Source organism: Homo sapiens, chromosome 8 (assembly GCF_000001405.40).
Source record: "Homo sapiens chromosome 8, GRCh38.p14 Primary Assembly".
NCBI lineage: Eukaryota > Metazoa > Chordata > Mammalia > Primates > Hominidae > Homo > Homo sapiens.
Genome location: NC_000008.11, coordinates 134,737,744 through 134,751,090, shown reverse-complemented (window position 1 = coordinate 134,751,090; position 13,347 = coordinate 134,737,744). Strand labels below are relative to the sequence as shown.

General features: G+C 42.0%; 1 protein-coding gene across 1 annotated transcript in view, besides 1 other annotated feature; it reads left to right on the top strand.

Moving 5' to 3' along the window:
- Positions 1 to 13,347, top strand: part of ZFAT (zinc finger and AT-hook domain containing) — a 354,552-nt gene that overhangs the window by 81,249 nt on the left and 259,956 nt on the right. The gene's annotated exons all lie outside the window — the stretch shown is intronic.
- Positions 12,895 to 12,944: an enhancer, noted in NCBI's record as "active region_28022". NCBI's record gives its function as "activates an Ori minimal core promoter by ATAC-STARR-seq in GM12878 lymphoblastoid cells {active_cell/tissue: GM12878}" and the evidence as "EXISTENCE:reporter gene assay evidence [ECO:0000049][PMID:35858748]".

Here is a 13,347-nt window from a genome sequence, read left to right as displayed (position 1 = left end):
GAAAAAAAAATGTATTTAGCAAGTGTTAAATAAAAATACATTTATTGAAAATAAATTAATGTGATTTGCTACATTTACCTGCTAAAGAAGAAATTAAATGATCATCTTGGTTGATGCAGAAAAAGCATTAGGTGACATTCATTATATATCTCCTTTGTAGCTAGAAATAGAAAGAAACTCCTTTAATTTGATAAAACATCAACATAAAATTATCAGCAAATCTTATAGTACGTGATAGAACGTTAAAAGATTTTCCTTTGGTGCATATGTTAATTAGCTTGAGTTAGCCATTCCACAATGTATATATACATTTTTGTTTGTTTTTGAGACAGGGTCTCGCTCTGTCATCCAGGCTGGAGTGCAGTGGTGCAATCACGGCTCACTGCAACTTCAACATCCCAGGCTCAAGCAATCCTCTCACCTCAGCCTCCTGAGTAGTTTGGACTACAGGCATGCACCAACATGCCCAGCTTTACATATTTCAAAACAACATATTTTAGATCATAAATATATACAGTTTTTTATTTGCCATTTAAAACATATAAATAATTATTTTTAAAAAAAATATTTCAATTTGAGATTAGGAGCAAGTCTGTACTTCTAGTCAATGTTGTACTGGAGGGCCTATCCAGTGAAATAAGGAAGACACATAAATATAAGGCACAAGAGTTGTAAGGAAAAAACTATCATTTTTCTTAGATGCTATTATATATACATTAACAAATCCAAAAAACTACAGCTAAACTATTACTGATAACAAAAATACCAGTATACAAAAAACATTGTATTTCTCTATTCCAGTAAAAACACAGTTAAAAGTAGAATTTAAAAAGAGATACCAATCGTAATATAATTTAAAAAGCATTAATTACTTAGGAATAGATCTATGAAAAGATGCAGAAGGCCTCTAAAGGTGAAAAATTAAAACTTACTGAGAGATATTTTAAAATATCCAAATAAAGGAGTTATACCATGTTCATGGAATAGAAAAATGAATATTTTTAAAATGTTTGTTCCTCCGAAACTGATCTGTAGATTTGACACAACCCCAATCAAAATTCCAATTGATTTTATTTTGTAGAATTTGAGAAGCTACTTTTTGAAGAAAAAGAAAAATGTAGAAGGATTTGTTTTATCAGATATCAAGATACATTACAGTATTTTAGTTATCAAGATGATGTGGTATTTATGCAAAGATTTTAAAAACAGGCTGCAAGTAGTTCCTCTAGAGTATAGAAAATGAGGGGAAAAATACAATAAAATAAAAATTGAGCAATGAAACAGAATAGAGAACTTAGATTTCACATACATGGGCTTGATCTATGACAGAAGTGGCTATAGGTAAAGGATAACATTTTTAATAAATAATAATGGAACAACCGGAAATTGTTCATATTGGAAACATTGAGATTTTATTCCTTCCTCATACTGTATGTAAAATCAGTTCCAAGTGGATTGAAGACTGCTTTGGTCTGAATGTTAGTGTCCCCCCAAAATTCATATGTTGGAGCCTGATACCCAATCTGATGGTGTTGGAAGATGGGGCCTTTGGGAGGTGATTGATGAGGGCTCTACCCTCAAGAGTGGTATTAATGCCCTTATAAATGAGGCTTGAGCTCCCTTGCCCCTTCTACCATGTGAATACATAGAAGGCACTGTCCATGAGGAACAGGCCCTCACCATACACCAAACTTGTTGGCAACTTGATCTTGGACTTCCCAGCCTTCAGAACCATGAGCAATAAATTTCTGTTGTTTATAAATTACCCAGTCTAAGATGTATTGTTGCAGTAGCTGAATGGATCAAGACAAAGATCTACTGTGAAAGGCTAAATACTAAGCTTTTGAAGGTAGTATAAGAGAATATCTTAATAATTTTGGAGTAGATATCTTATGTAGAGAGAAAAAACACTAAACACAAAGGAAAAGTTGTAAATTGGTTATAGTAAAAATTAAAATTTCCATTCTTCAAAAGATGCCACAAAAAGAGTTAAAATACAAGCCACAGAGTGGGAGGACACATTTGTAACATATATAATTTTTTAACCCATTTCCCATTTGCCCCGAGAAATGAGCACTGGCAGTAGGCTGCACTTTTTTTTCTTTTTCTAAACAAGAAATAGGTTAAAAGGGCTAGCATACAGAATATATGAGAAATATTAAAAATAAATAAGGCAGAAAACCTGATAGGAAAAAAAATAGGCAAAGACTTGAACATGTACCTCACAAGAAGAGATATTAAAATGGCCAAAGAACATATGAAAAGTGCTCAACCTCAATGTTAATCAGGAGAATACAAATTAAAATTATAACATAATACAACTACACACCTGCGATTGGTAAAAATTAAAAAGACTAACAATACTGCGTGTTGGCTAGGATGTGGAGATTTAGAAACTCATAATCCTGATGATAAGAATGTGAATCAGTAAACCTGCTGTGGAGAACAGTGTCGCGTTGTATAGTGAAGTTGAATATTCCATGTTTTTTAGAGATACTCATACGTACATTCACTAAGATAAGTGTAAAAGGATGTCTAAAGCAACATTTGTCTTTTTGTAATTACCGAAAACCAGAAACAAACAAAATGCCCATGATATGGTATATTCATACCATAGATTACAGCAGGAAAATAAGCAAATCAAATCAGTTTTAATGCAACAATGTGATGAATATGAAATGTTGAGGAAAAAAATTAAGTTTCAAAGAATAATACAATACAGTTCCATTTTTAAATAGTCTAGAACCATGTAAAACAAATACACACAGTTTAGGGATGCATCCTCAGGCAATAAACCTACAAGGAAAAGTGAGGAAATTATTACTATAAAAGGCAAGTGGTTACTTCTGGAGGGTGGAAGAGGGGGTTGTTATTAAAGCAAGGAATAGAGAGAGGACCTCTGTGTTGCTCTTAATGTTCTGTTTCTTGGCCTGGGGGATGATTGCTTGGGTCTTCACTTAACTACCATATGTTAAACTGTACATATAAATTTTATGCACTTGTCTAAGTAATATATGTTAAATTAAAAAATACTTTAAAAACTACCACAACCCCAGATATTTCTGAAACCCCAGATATTTCTGATATTATGGACAGATCCAACTAGCTGAACAAACTGTGCACATTTATTATCAGAAATAAGCTTTGATTCTTGTTATCCACATTTCATTAATTCTGGACTTCATCAAGACCAAAGCCCAGGTGGCTATCCACCAGCCCAGAGACCAGAGATGCTTCAGATTAATTTACGTCTTTGGTCTCCTCGGTAATATGATGATGATGCCTTCATTATAATAAAAAAGGAATTAGATACACAAAATTACAGGGCTGTAAAAAAAGGGAGGAAACGATTATCTCAAAATAAGAACAAAGAAAAACAAGTGGCCTAGATTCCATCACAGCTGACCTGAAGGCCATGATTTACCTAAATTTGTTCTTCACAGTTACAAGTTCTATAAATGTATTTCACAAGCTTGTTATGTGTATTTGGCTATATTTTGGAGGGATGTGAGTAATAAATAATAGTAGTTAGAGACATTGTTAGGACCTTGCTGATTCGGTATTTCAAATTAAAAGAATAGTGTTAAATGCTTTTTAAAAATCTATTAGGAAAAATATTCATATAAGCCAATTAATAATCTATATAAGATTTCAGAAAGGATGCTTAAACAAGGTTTTCAAACACTCTAAAGATCTTTAGAGGCTGAGTGCAGTGGCTCATGCCTGTAATCCCAGCACTTTGGGAGGCTGAGGTGGGAGGATCATTTGAGTCCAGGAGTTTGAGACCAGCCTGGGCAACACAGTGAGACCTCATCTGTATAAAAATTTTTAAAAATTAGCTGGGTGTGGTGGCATGTGCCTGTGGTTCTAGCTACTTGGGAGGCTGAGGTGGGAGGATCACTTGAACCTGGGAGGTCGAGGCTGCAGTGAGCCATGATCATGCCACTGCACTCCAACCTGGGCAACAGAGCAAGACCCTATCTCAAAAAGAAAAAAAAAGATCTTTAGAAAAAAGGCATATTCCAGGAACAAATTATAATAGTATCAATCCCTGATAAAACATTAGGCTCTGATTTTTAACAGGTAGTTTATAATCAGTAGTAGTGACTAAGAATCAGCACAGCTTTTCTAGGGAAAATTATTTATCATTAATCTCATCTCCATTTTAAGGAAATCACTAAGTTCATGAATAAAGGGAATGTCGCAGACATATTATAGCTCAATTTTCACAAAGCGTGGATTCTAGTTCAATTAAGGGATTAACAATTTTTAATTGTTCAGTTATTTAACTTGTCATAACAACCTTAAATAACTCTACTCTTCAACTCGTCCATTGTAACACTTGATTGATATCTGGCTGAAGAGCTAAAAAACTTACTTATGAACTGTACAGATGACTCAGCACTGGGGGAAGAACTAAGACACTGCATTGGAGATTCAGACTTACAAGGATTTGAACATGTTCCAAAAGAGGGCAGAAAGGAAATGAAAACTAGGTTAAAAAAAAGTTCAGCAACACAAGGTCAGTATTGAGAGGCTGTGGCTTGACATTAGTTTAGTGGAGAAAGACCCAAAGTGTTAGCCAAGTGCAATTTAAATATGGGCCAACAATGTGATTTGGCTGTTTAAAAAGCTAATGCGATTTTAGGGTACATTAACACAGCCATAGTATCCATATCAGGTGGGTGATGGTCTTGCGGTGTTCTACGTTTTAGACATAGCACAAACAGTCTTCAATTTGGGGCATCTTGTTTTCAGCAGAAAATGATAAATCAAAGATTAACCAGAGGGCAAATAGAATTACAGATGATCAGGAAATCAAGTCATGTGAGGAATGGTGAGAAAACCTAGCAAGATTTAGTCCTAGAGAGAACATGAGAGCTGCTGTTAAACATTTGAATGTCTTGCAAAAGGAGGAGGTTCTTTTCATTGATTGGTTGGTTGGTTGCTTTTTCAATGTACTGCAAAGAGCGGAATTGAGAGGAAATCAATATAATGGTAGATTCCAAATTAAAGAAGTTTTACACTCAGGGCCAATGAAACCTGGAAGGGGCTTTCTTGTAAAGTATTAGGCAGAGTCCCAGAGAGCAGGAAGAGCACAGGCAAAGGGGCTGATGTGAAAAACTAAGAAACTGCCTCATAAATGGTAACCAGCAAAGGCTTTGGAGCCAGACAGACTGCAACCAACCCCATCTTTCTATACTAAATAGCTGCGTGACTAAGCAGGTTACTTAACCTCTCTGAGCTTCAGTTTCCATACTTATAAAATGGGAATAATAATAATAATATACTCATCTCACAGGATGTTTTGGATGAGTAAATAAAGTAATGCTATTATTGGTAACCCTTGAGGAAATCCCTTCAGTGAGACCTTAGATTGCAAACCTGCAAGGCAGCAAGCAAAATCCTGAACCTTGGCTTTTTATGATCTGATAAAAGCTCCTCTGCCTAGAAATCACATTAGCCCATGTTGAACATCACTGTGAAACTGGGGAGTCCACGGCACTTTTTGCTAACCAAAATAGGTCAAAGAACATTGTGATCTCATGTCCTCACTAACTCCTCTTTTCCCTTTCTCTGTCATAGAGAAAGTAATAAAGTCTTAACCCAGCTTTGACCATTACCTCTCCCACCTCCTTACTGGAACATTCACTCAGCTGTAGACTCAGGGCAGAACCTTTCTGCATTCGAAACCAAGCAAGCTAGGCCAGCTTTAGGGTCCAGGACTGTCTTAACCATTGCAGAATCCCACCCAGCAGATGGCAAGAGCAGTGCAAGGATACCTGGATCCTGCTTGGCATTGCACGTCTTAAGGAGTTAGACCAGGGAACCGTGGTAGACAGAATTCCAGGCTCCACCCCTGGTGAACATGCCATATGATTCCCTTCCCTCAAGTGTGAGCAGGGCTGTAAATGTGGTAGATTTCATTCCCACAATTAGGTAAAGGGGTGAAGGGATTTTGCAGATATAATTGATGTACCAAATCAGGTGACATAGGGTTAATCAAAAGGAGATTATCCTGAGCAAATTAGACGAGCCCTTACAAGAGAGTAGGCCCTTCCTGGCCGGGCGCGGTGGCTACGCCTGTAATTCCAGCACTTTGGGAGGCCGAGGTGGGCGGATCACGAGGTCAGGCGATCGAGACCATCCTGGCTAACATGGTGAAACCCCATCTCCACTAAAAATACGAAAAAGTAGCCGGGCCTGGTGGCGGGCGCCTGTAGTCCCAGCTACTTGGGAGGCTGAGGCAGGAGAATGGCATGAACCCAGGAGGTGGAAGTTGCAGTGAGCCGAGATCAGGCCACTGCACTCCAGCCTAGGTGACAGAGCAAGCCTCCGTCTCAAAAAAAAAAAAAAAAAAAAGGAGAGTAGGCCCTTCCTGAAGGAAGAGATTTGAAGTACAAAAGATTTTCCTGCTGACTTTGAAGAAGTAAACTGCTTTGTTGTGAGGGGGCCTGTGTAGAAAGCAATGTGACAAAGAACTCTTAGCCTTCAGGCTGCGCGCAGTGGTTCACGTCTGTAATCCCAGCACTTTGGGAGGCTGGGGCAGGTGGATCACTTGAGGTCAGGAGTTTGAGACCAGCCTGGCCAATGTGATGAAACCCCATCTCTACTAAAAATACAAAAATTAGCCGGGCATGGTGGCGGGTGCCTGTAATTCCATCTACTCAGGAGGCTGAGGCAGGAGAATTGCTTGAACCTGCAAGGCAGAGGTTGCCGTGAGCCAAGATTATGCCACTGCACTCCAGCCTAGGCAACAGAGCAAGACTCCATCTCAAAAAAAAAAAAAAAAAACTCTTAGCCTCTAGGAGTTGCTTCCAGCCAACAGCCAGCAAGAACAACAGCCTGCAAAAAGATGGGGGCCTCAGTCATACGGTCATAAGGAAATGAATTCTGCCAACCACCAGTGAGCTTGGAAGAAGACCTTGAGCCTCAGAGGGGAATGCAGAGCAACTACCCATTAAAATGGTGAGACCCTGACTAGAAAATTCAGTTAACTCATGCCCGGACTTCTGACCCATGGAAAGTGTGAGATAATAAATTTGTGTAGCTTGCAGTCACTAAGTTTGCAGTGATGTGTTATGTAGCAATAGAAAACAAACGGAGGAGCAAGAAACCTGTTTGGCCTGTCCTTGTCACCCTCTCGTGATAGCCACATGTTCTATGCCATTGCAATAAGAAACCAGTGTGCCCTTTTGGCCAGAAAAGAAAGGCAGTCTTAATTCTGGCAGCCCTGGGTGGAGATTTGCCTCCCCAGGAGCCTGGCAAGTAGGAAAAGGTGGATAAGTGGGTTCTCTTCTCGCTGTGACTGGGCAGGCTGGTGCCCAGGCTGAGGAGAGACAGACGCTTCTGGGGCAAAGCAATCTCCAAACCCCCTCTTCCCCTCCCCAGGTGAGACTCTGTGAGACTGTGAAAAGCACTATTTTACAAATAACCAGCAGGCTGATTACAAAGACTTCTTAGCTGTTCCCTAAAGTGATTCTTCCAAGAAACACTTTGCTGCAATTAGGTATGTCACTGATAACAATAAGTTGTATATATTTTTAAAGTATAATGACATTTTCCTTCATTTATTTTTTATTTTTTTAAATTTTTTTCTTTGAGATGGAGTCTCACTCTGTCGCCCAGGCTGGAGTGCAATGGTGTGATCTCAGCTCACTGCAAACTCCACCTCCCAGGTTCAAGCTATTCTCCTGCCTCAGCCTCCCGAGTAGCTGGTATTACAGGCGCCCATCACCAGACCCAGCTAATTTTTGTATTTTTAGTAGAGACGGGGTTTCACCATGTTGGCCAGGCTGGTCTTGAACTCCTGACCTTAAGTGATCCACCCACCTCTGCCTCCCGAAGTGTTGAGATTACAGGCATGAGCCACCACACCTGGCACATTTTCCTTAATTTAGATTGGCCTTTGCCACAATTAACCCAAACCAGTGAGGCTTTGCAGTCAATCGTGATGAGACCTGCAAGGGCATAGAGATGGTTTCACCACGTGTTTCAGTCATGGATCGGCCACTTTTTGTGTAGTCTTGATTATGTGTCACTCTTTCACACCTGTCAACTGGGGTGAAGCAGTTGTGACAGTCCAATGGACTTTGTGAATGGGCAAGTCTAACGTGGACCTGAGACAGAGGCACACTTGGGGCGTGCACTGAATGGGTGTCAGGCTCCCAGACCTCTGGGTGAGGCGCTGGCAGGAGGGCCCTCCCCTTAGAGCTTGCTGGAGGGGAGCTCAGCTCCTTAACTGCAACCGCCACTCAGGGCCAGAGTGGAGAGCCTGATGTGCTATGTGATACCCTAGCCCAGCTCCAGAAGGTCTGGGATATGGCATCAGAGCTGAGACCAGAAGGACTAGAGCAGGAGTTAGCTCCAGGAAGAGAGGGAAGGGAGCACAGGGGGCCAGAGCTCACAGACTTGCAGTGCGAGAACGATGAGCTCAGGAATGAAATAATTGCGTGGTAGCAGAGAGCCGAGGGGCTGGGCGGATGCGAGTCTGGAGAGAGGTGGGAGCCAGGTCCTGGGAAGTCTTGCCACTGTGCTCAGGAATCTGATCAGAGGATAATGGGTGACTTGGAGCATTTTAAAAAGGAGATCAATGTGGCCAGATTGAACCCCGAGGACTGTGATTTTCACACAGTTCTGTACAGCCCAAAGTTTCCTCTGAGATGGGAGAGAGGAGGGGATGAGGGCTTCATGATGGCACCTGCGCTGTGTCTCCAAAGCATTGCTGCTCTCACCTGGTTGACCCAGCGGTTCTGGGAAGGCTTAATTTAGTAAGACAGGTCTCCTTTAAAAATAAAGCTTGATATAACCTAGATGACGGGTTGATAGGTGCAGCAAGCCACCATGGCACATATATACTTAAGTAACAAACCTGCATGTTCTGCACATGTATCCCAGAACTTAAAGTAAAATTAAAAAAAAAAAAAGAAATGATCTGACACAGCAATAAATAAATGAAGCTTCAAAGACCCTTTTGAGAAAAATTTATCAGGTTGCAGAGAGGAGACTGGATTGGAAATAGCAAGACAGAGGGGAGCAGAGAGAGCTTGGTTAGGGCTGTTCCCATGGTCCTAGAGGAAACTGATGAGGCACAGTTCTCAGGAGTGGGGCTGGGGAGAAGTACGCAGGTGAAGAGGTGTTGAGGAGGGGAACTCTGAAGGACTTGCTGATCAGGGAGAGGGGACTGGGGAGGCAGAGAAGTGAAGATGTATCCTTGGTTTGTTTTTTTTTTTTCAAGTGACTGGTGGAAAGGTATTGCCATTCTACTGGCATCAGGGCTGGAGCATGAGAGGTAAATTTGGTGCAGATGCTGAGTGAGATTTGGGTGTGTTCCTTTTTGGGTGTCAGTGACACAACCAAGTAGGCAGAGTGTATGAGTCTGGAGCTAAGAAGGAAGGTCTGGACTGGGTGTGGCTTTAGGAGGCCTCAGCGTATAGATGGTAATTGAATCCACAGTCCATGTCTCTGTTACCCAGGAAGACTGTGTATGGTGAGAACAGAGACATGGGAAAAAGTCCTGGGAAGCATCCACATTTAAGAAACAGCCAGAAAAGAAGAGGCTGGCAAAGCCAACTGAGGTGGACAGTCCAGGGCGTGGAAAGGAAATGTGAAAACGGTGATGTCATGAGAGCCAAGAAAAAGAGTAAAGAATAGAAGAGTATTCGTACCCAGTAAGAACCCAACGCTGCTGAGAAGGCAAGTACAATCCCAACTCCGAGAAGTGTTCATTTAAGGACCAGAAGGTTGTTGGAGAGCCTGGCTGGAGCAGTTTCAGAGAAGTACTGGAGCAGAAGCCAGAGGAGAGGATTTGAGAGGTCAACGTGAGCCAATATGAAGTTAAAAGATCATTCTTTCAAGAACTTTGTCTATGAGGGGTGGGGGCGAGATGGGGAGTAGGAGCTGGATAAGTGGGGTTATGTTTTTTGAGAGGTGAGAACTTGGGTATGTTTGAATTCTGATGGGAAGGAGTCAATATAGGTGGAGGGGCTCTGAATTTAAAACACAAATCATAGTATGATTTTTATTGATTCACTTCAGAACTTTCTTGAGCACTTACCCTTTGTAGGGCTTGGGTTCTGTTGGTTATGGTAGAGGGAAAAGGGAGGGAGAAAGGGCGCACATCAAGTTTAATGACTTTCCTACCTGCTCTCAAAAACATATTCAAAGTGGTGTTGACAAGCTGGATCTGGTAGATGAAATGCCACAGCCCCTTTCATCTTATGTTATGGGGCTCAGTCTTCTAGACATTGTCTTACTGATTAGCTTCTTGAGCTTGTTGGTTGGCTGTACCAGAGTAATGAATAGGCTGTGCCTAGCCCTGCTGAGGGAGAAGCACATGAGCTCTGAGTCTTTGGCAAGCTGGAGGCCAGAGGTCCTTCCAAAGGCCAGAACATTCCATGGTTCTGGAAGCCTAAGGCTAAATTCCATGTGAGCGGCCCTTGTGCTTTGTTTTTTCTCTAGGTTGACCTATCCTGGAAAAGACTTGGGACAAAGCACCACTTATTTTGCTTGTGGACATGACAACAGAAAAAAAAACATGCGTAAGAAGGGAACTAGGTGTTCTAAACTGTGGTCAAACTATCTGTAATAAAGCTTTGCTTGTTTTGTTTAATTTCTAATCTGTTGCAGGCCAATGCTTACTCAAACAGAAAGTTTGAGTAATTAAACCAGTAATTCATTGTTTAGGGACCAGCATTTGTTCCAGGACCACGCTGTGGGTAGCACAAGTTCACTTTCACCTTCCATTGACAATGCTAATTCTGGCTCCTTACCCATGTCTAGCACTTAGGATGGTTAAGTGTGTTTGCCTTCAGGCTCTCAGGAGCTCAGTTCAGATGCCACTCTTCCTGCGAATTCTACCTCACTCACTCTTCCTAGAAGGGAATGGGTGCCTCCCGTCTGAGAGTGGATTTCCCCGAGACAAGGGTTTGAGTGTTAGGAGTTTATTGGGACAGAACCCCACAGAGTATTGGAAAGGGAGTGGGGAGATGAAATGAGAAGGGGAAAAGTCAGTAAAGGGATCAACTGAGCAAGTCATCTGGTAGACAACTGACACTTGGTTCTGCTGGGGGGATTCTGAGAAATAGGGTGGAGACACTCACCTTGGAGTTATCTCCCCCAAGGCATGAGGAAGCTGGGTATTGACACACCATGGTCATCCATAGGCAGACAGCTGCTCAGGAGGACATTAATTCCTTCTCACTACCAGCCTGCAGGGCAAAGTGGTCTCCAGTGGCCAGAGAAAGCCCCCAGGCAAGAAACTGCTGGTACCTTCCGTTGAAATGGTGGGGAGTCCTCAGCCTCTGCTACACTCTGCCTCCATCTGTAGTCCCATCAGACCCTATGGTTTCTTTCTGTTCCATGCCCATCACATTTCTTTGTAATTATCTATTTCCTTGTTCATTGTTTATCTCTCTTCCTAGAGTCTAGGACCTAGACTGGGAGCTCCTTAAGGGCAAAGGCTATATCCTGTATCTCTGCATCTCATTGTAGAGTGTGGTATTTTTCATCCCAGAAGATGAAAGAATGCATGAATCTGGGCCTTCCAACACTTCAGCATGGGCTTGCTTTTATCCTCATTTTAAAAGTTAACAAAATAAGACAGAGAGAGGCTATGACCTGCCCTAGGTTATGAAGCTAACTAGTAGCAGAATCAGATCTCCTAATTCCAAATCCTGGTTCTTCTCATTGATTACAGCTGCCTGCAATTTTCTCTTCCATTTCTTACTCCCATATCCCGGTTCAAGAGCATGCATAAAGACATGCATGTGTACACACACACACACACACACACACACACACATCTCTACACACACCACTGAGTGCTTCTCTGTAGATACTTGCTGCTTTGTTTTTTCTTTTGGGCTGGTGGCAAGGTGGAATGAAAAAGTGAGAGTGGTCTTCTAATAGATATTTACAAGTTGCAAACCCAGCTGGGGTCTATGGCATTATCCATTCTGAGGTGATATAGAACGGCCCCAGATGGATTCACAAGATAAATGGAAGGGAAGGAGGGTGGCCTCAGCTCTGTCCTCTCAAGCTGATCTTAAACTCTGTCACCTGGAGTCCTATGCCATCCTGTATCTCCTGAAGGTGTTGCTGATTTGGGGTGACTCTCAGCAGCCTCAGCTGTTTTTCCCCTTGACTGGTTTCCTAAAAGGACTAGGGAAGCTTGCTTCTGAGCACAGGTTCTGTGCCTTGTCTTACCTTCTCCCCACTGTTCTCTGCTCCACAGCCAAATTGGGCTTCTGTTATTTATTATTTCCTTAACCATGCTTGGCTCTCCCCCTGGGCCTTTGCACATGCTGTCCTGTCTACCTGGAATTCAGCCCCTCTGCTTCCTGCTAGTTACCTCCCCCTCCTCGTTCATTAGCTCTGGTGTCCTTTCCTGAGTGTGCCTCCCCTCTCTGCACCCCTACATTCCTCCACCCCCTACACCTCACACCCTCTTACCTGGAGCCATCCCACCTCCTTCATGGCATTGATTCCAGTTTGCAAGTGTACACATTTACCGAAGTCATATCTTTTCAGGACAACCTCCCCTTTTAGAGTCTACATTTCTGGGAAGAAAGAGCTGTGTCTGGTTTTGTCTAGTACTTCACTCTCGTACGTAGTTGGTACTCAAATATTTTGAATGCATGAATGGATTAATAATCAAATGAAAAGCTAAGCCTCACAAGCTCCTCCCAAGATAACCCTTACTCATCTTCTTTTATAGATAATGAGATGGAAGCTCAGAAGATTTGGGCTTGCCAGAAGTCCAAGAGCTCATGAGTTGGGACAGCCGCAGAATTCTACCCAGGGCTGCCTGATTTCAACCCCCAAGCTTGGTGATATTGAGAGAGGAGGCTAGGTGGGGCCATTCAAGGAAACTTGAGTCCTGTGATGTTTGTTTTCTTTGTTGATGCACACAAAATGATTTAGGTCTCTAAATCATTTTATGTGCATCAACACAAAAAGTAACACTAGACTACAGGAACTGAGCTAAAAGCAGCACTAGACTACAGGAACTGAGATAATGACAAGGTGATTTCAGCCTTGGTATGTCAGTCCTCAAAGGGTCATGAGAGGAAGTGAGATGCCCCACGTTTACCATGAAGAGACCTTAATGGTAGCACAATGCAGAGCAATCTCCAGACACAAAAAAGATCTCCTGGTCTTTTTGTCTCTCTCTTAAGGAAACTTAACTTCATTTCTCAAATAATTGATGGGGTATAAATTAAGCAGGATTGAAAAACCCACCAATCTCATAGACAATGACTTGGATAGGAGCCGAGAGATAGAGGTTCTGGTTGTAGATGTATCAGACCTGCCTTATGTCACCACCCATGATGCTAGGTTCATCAA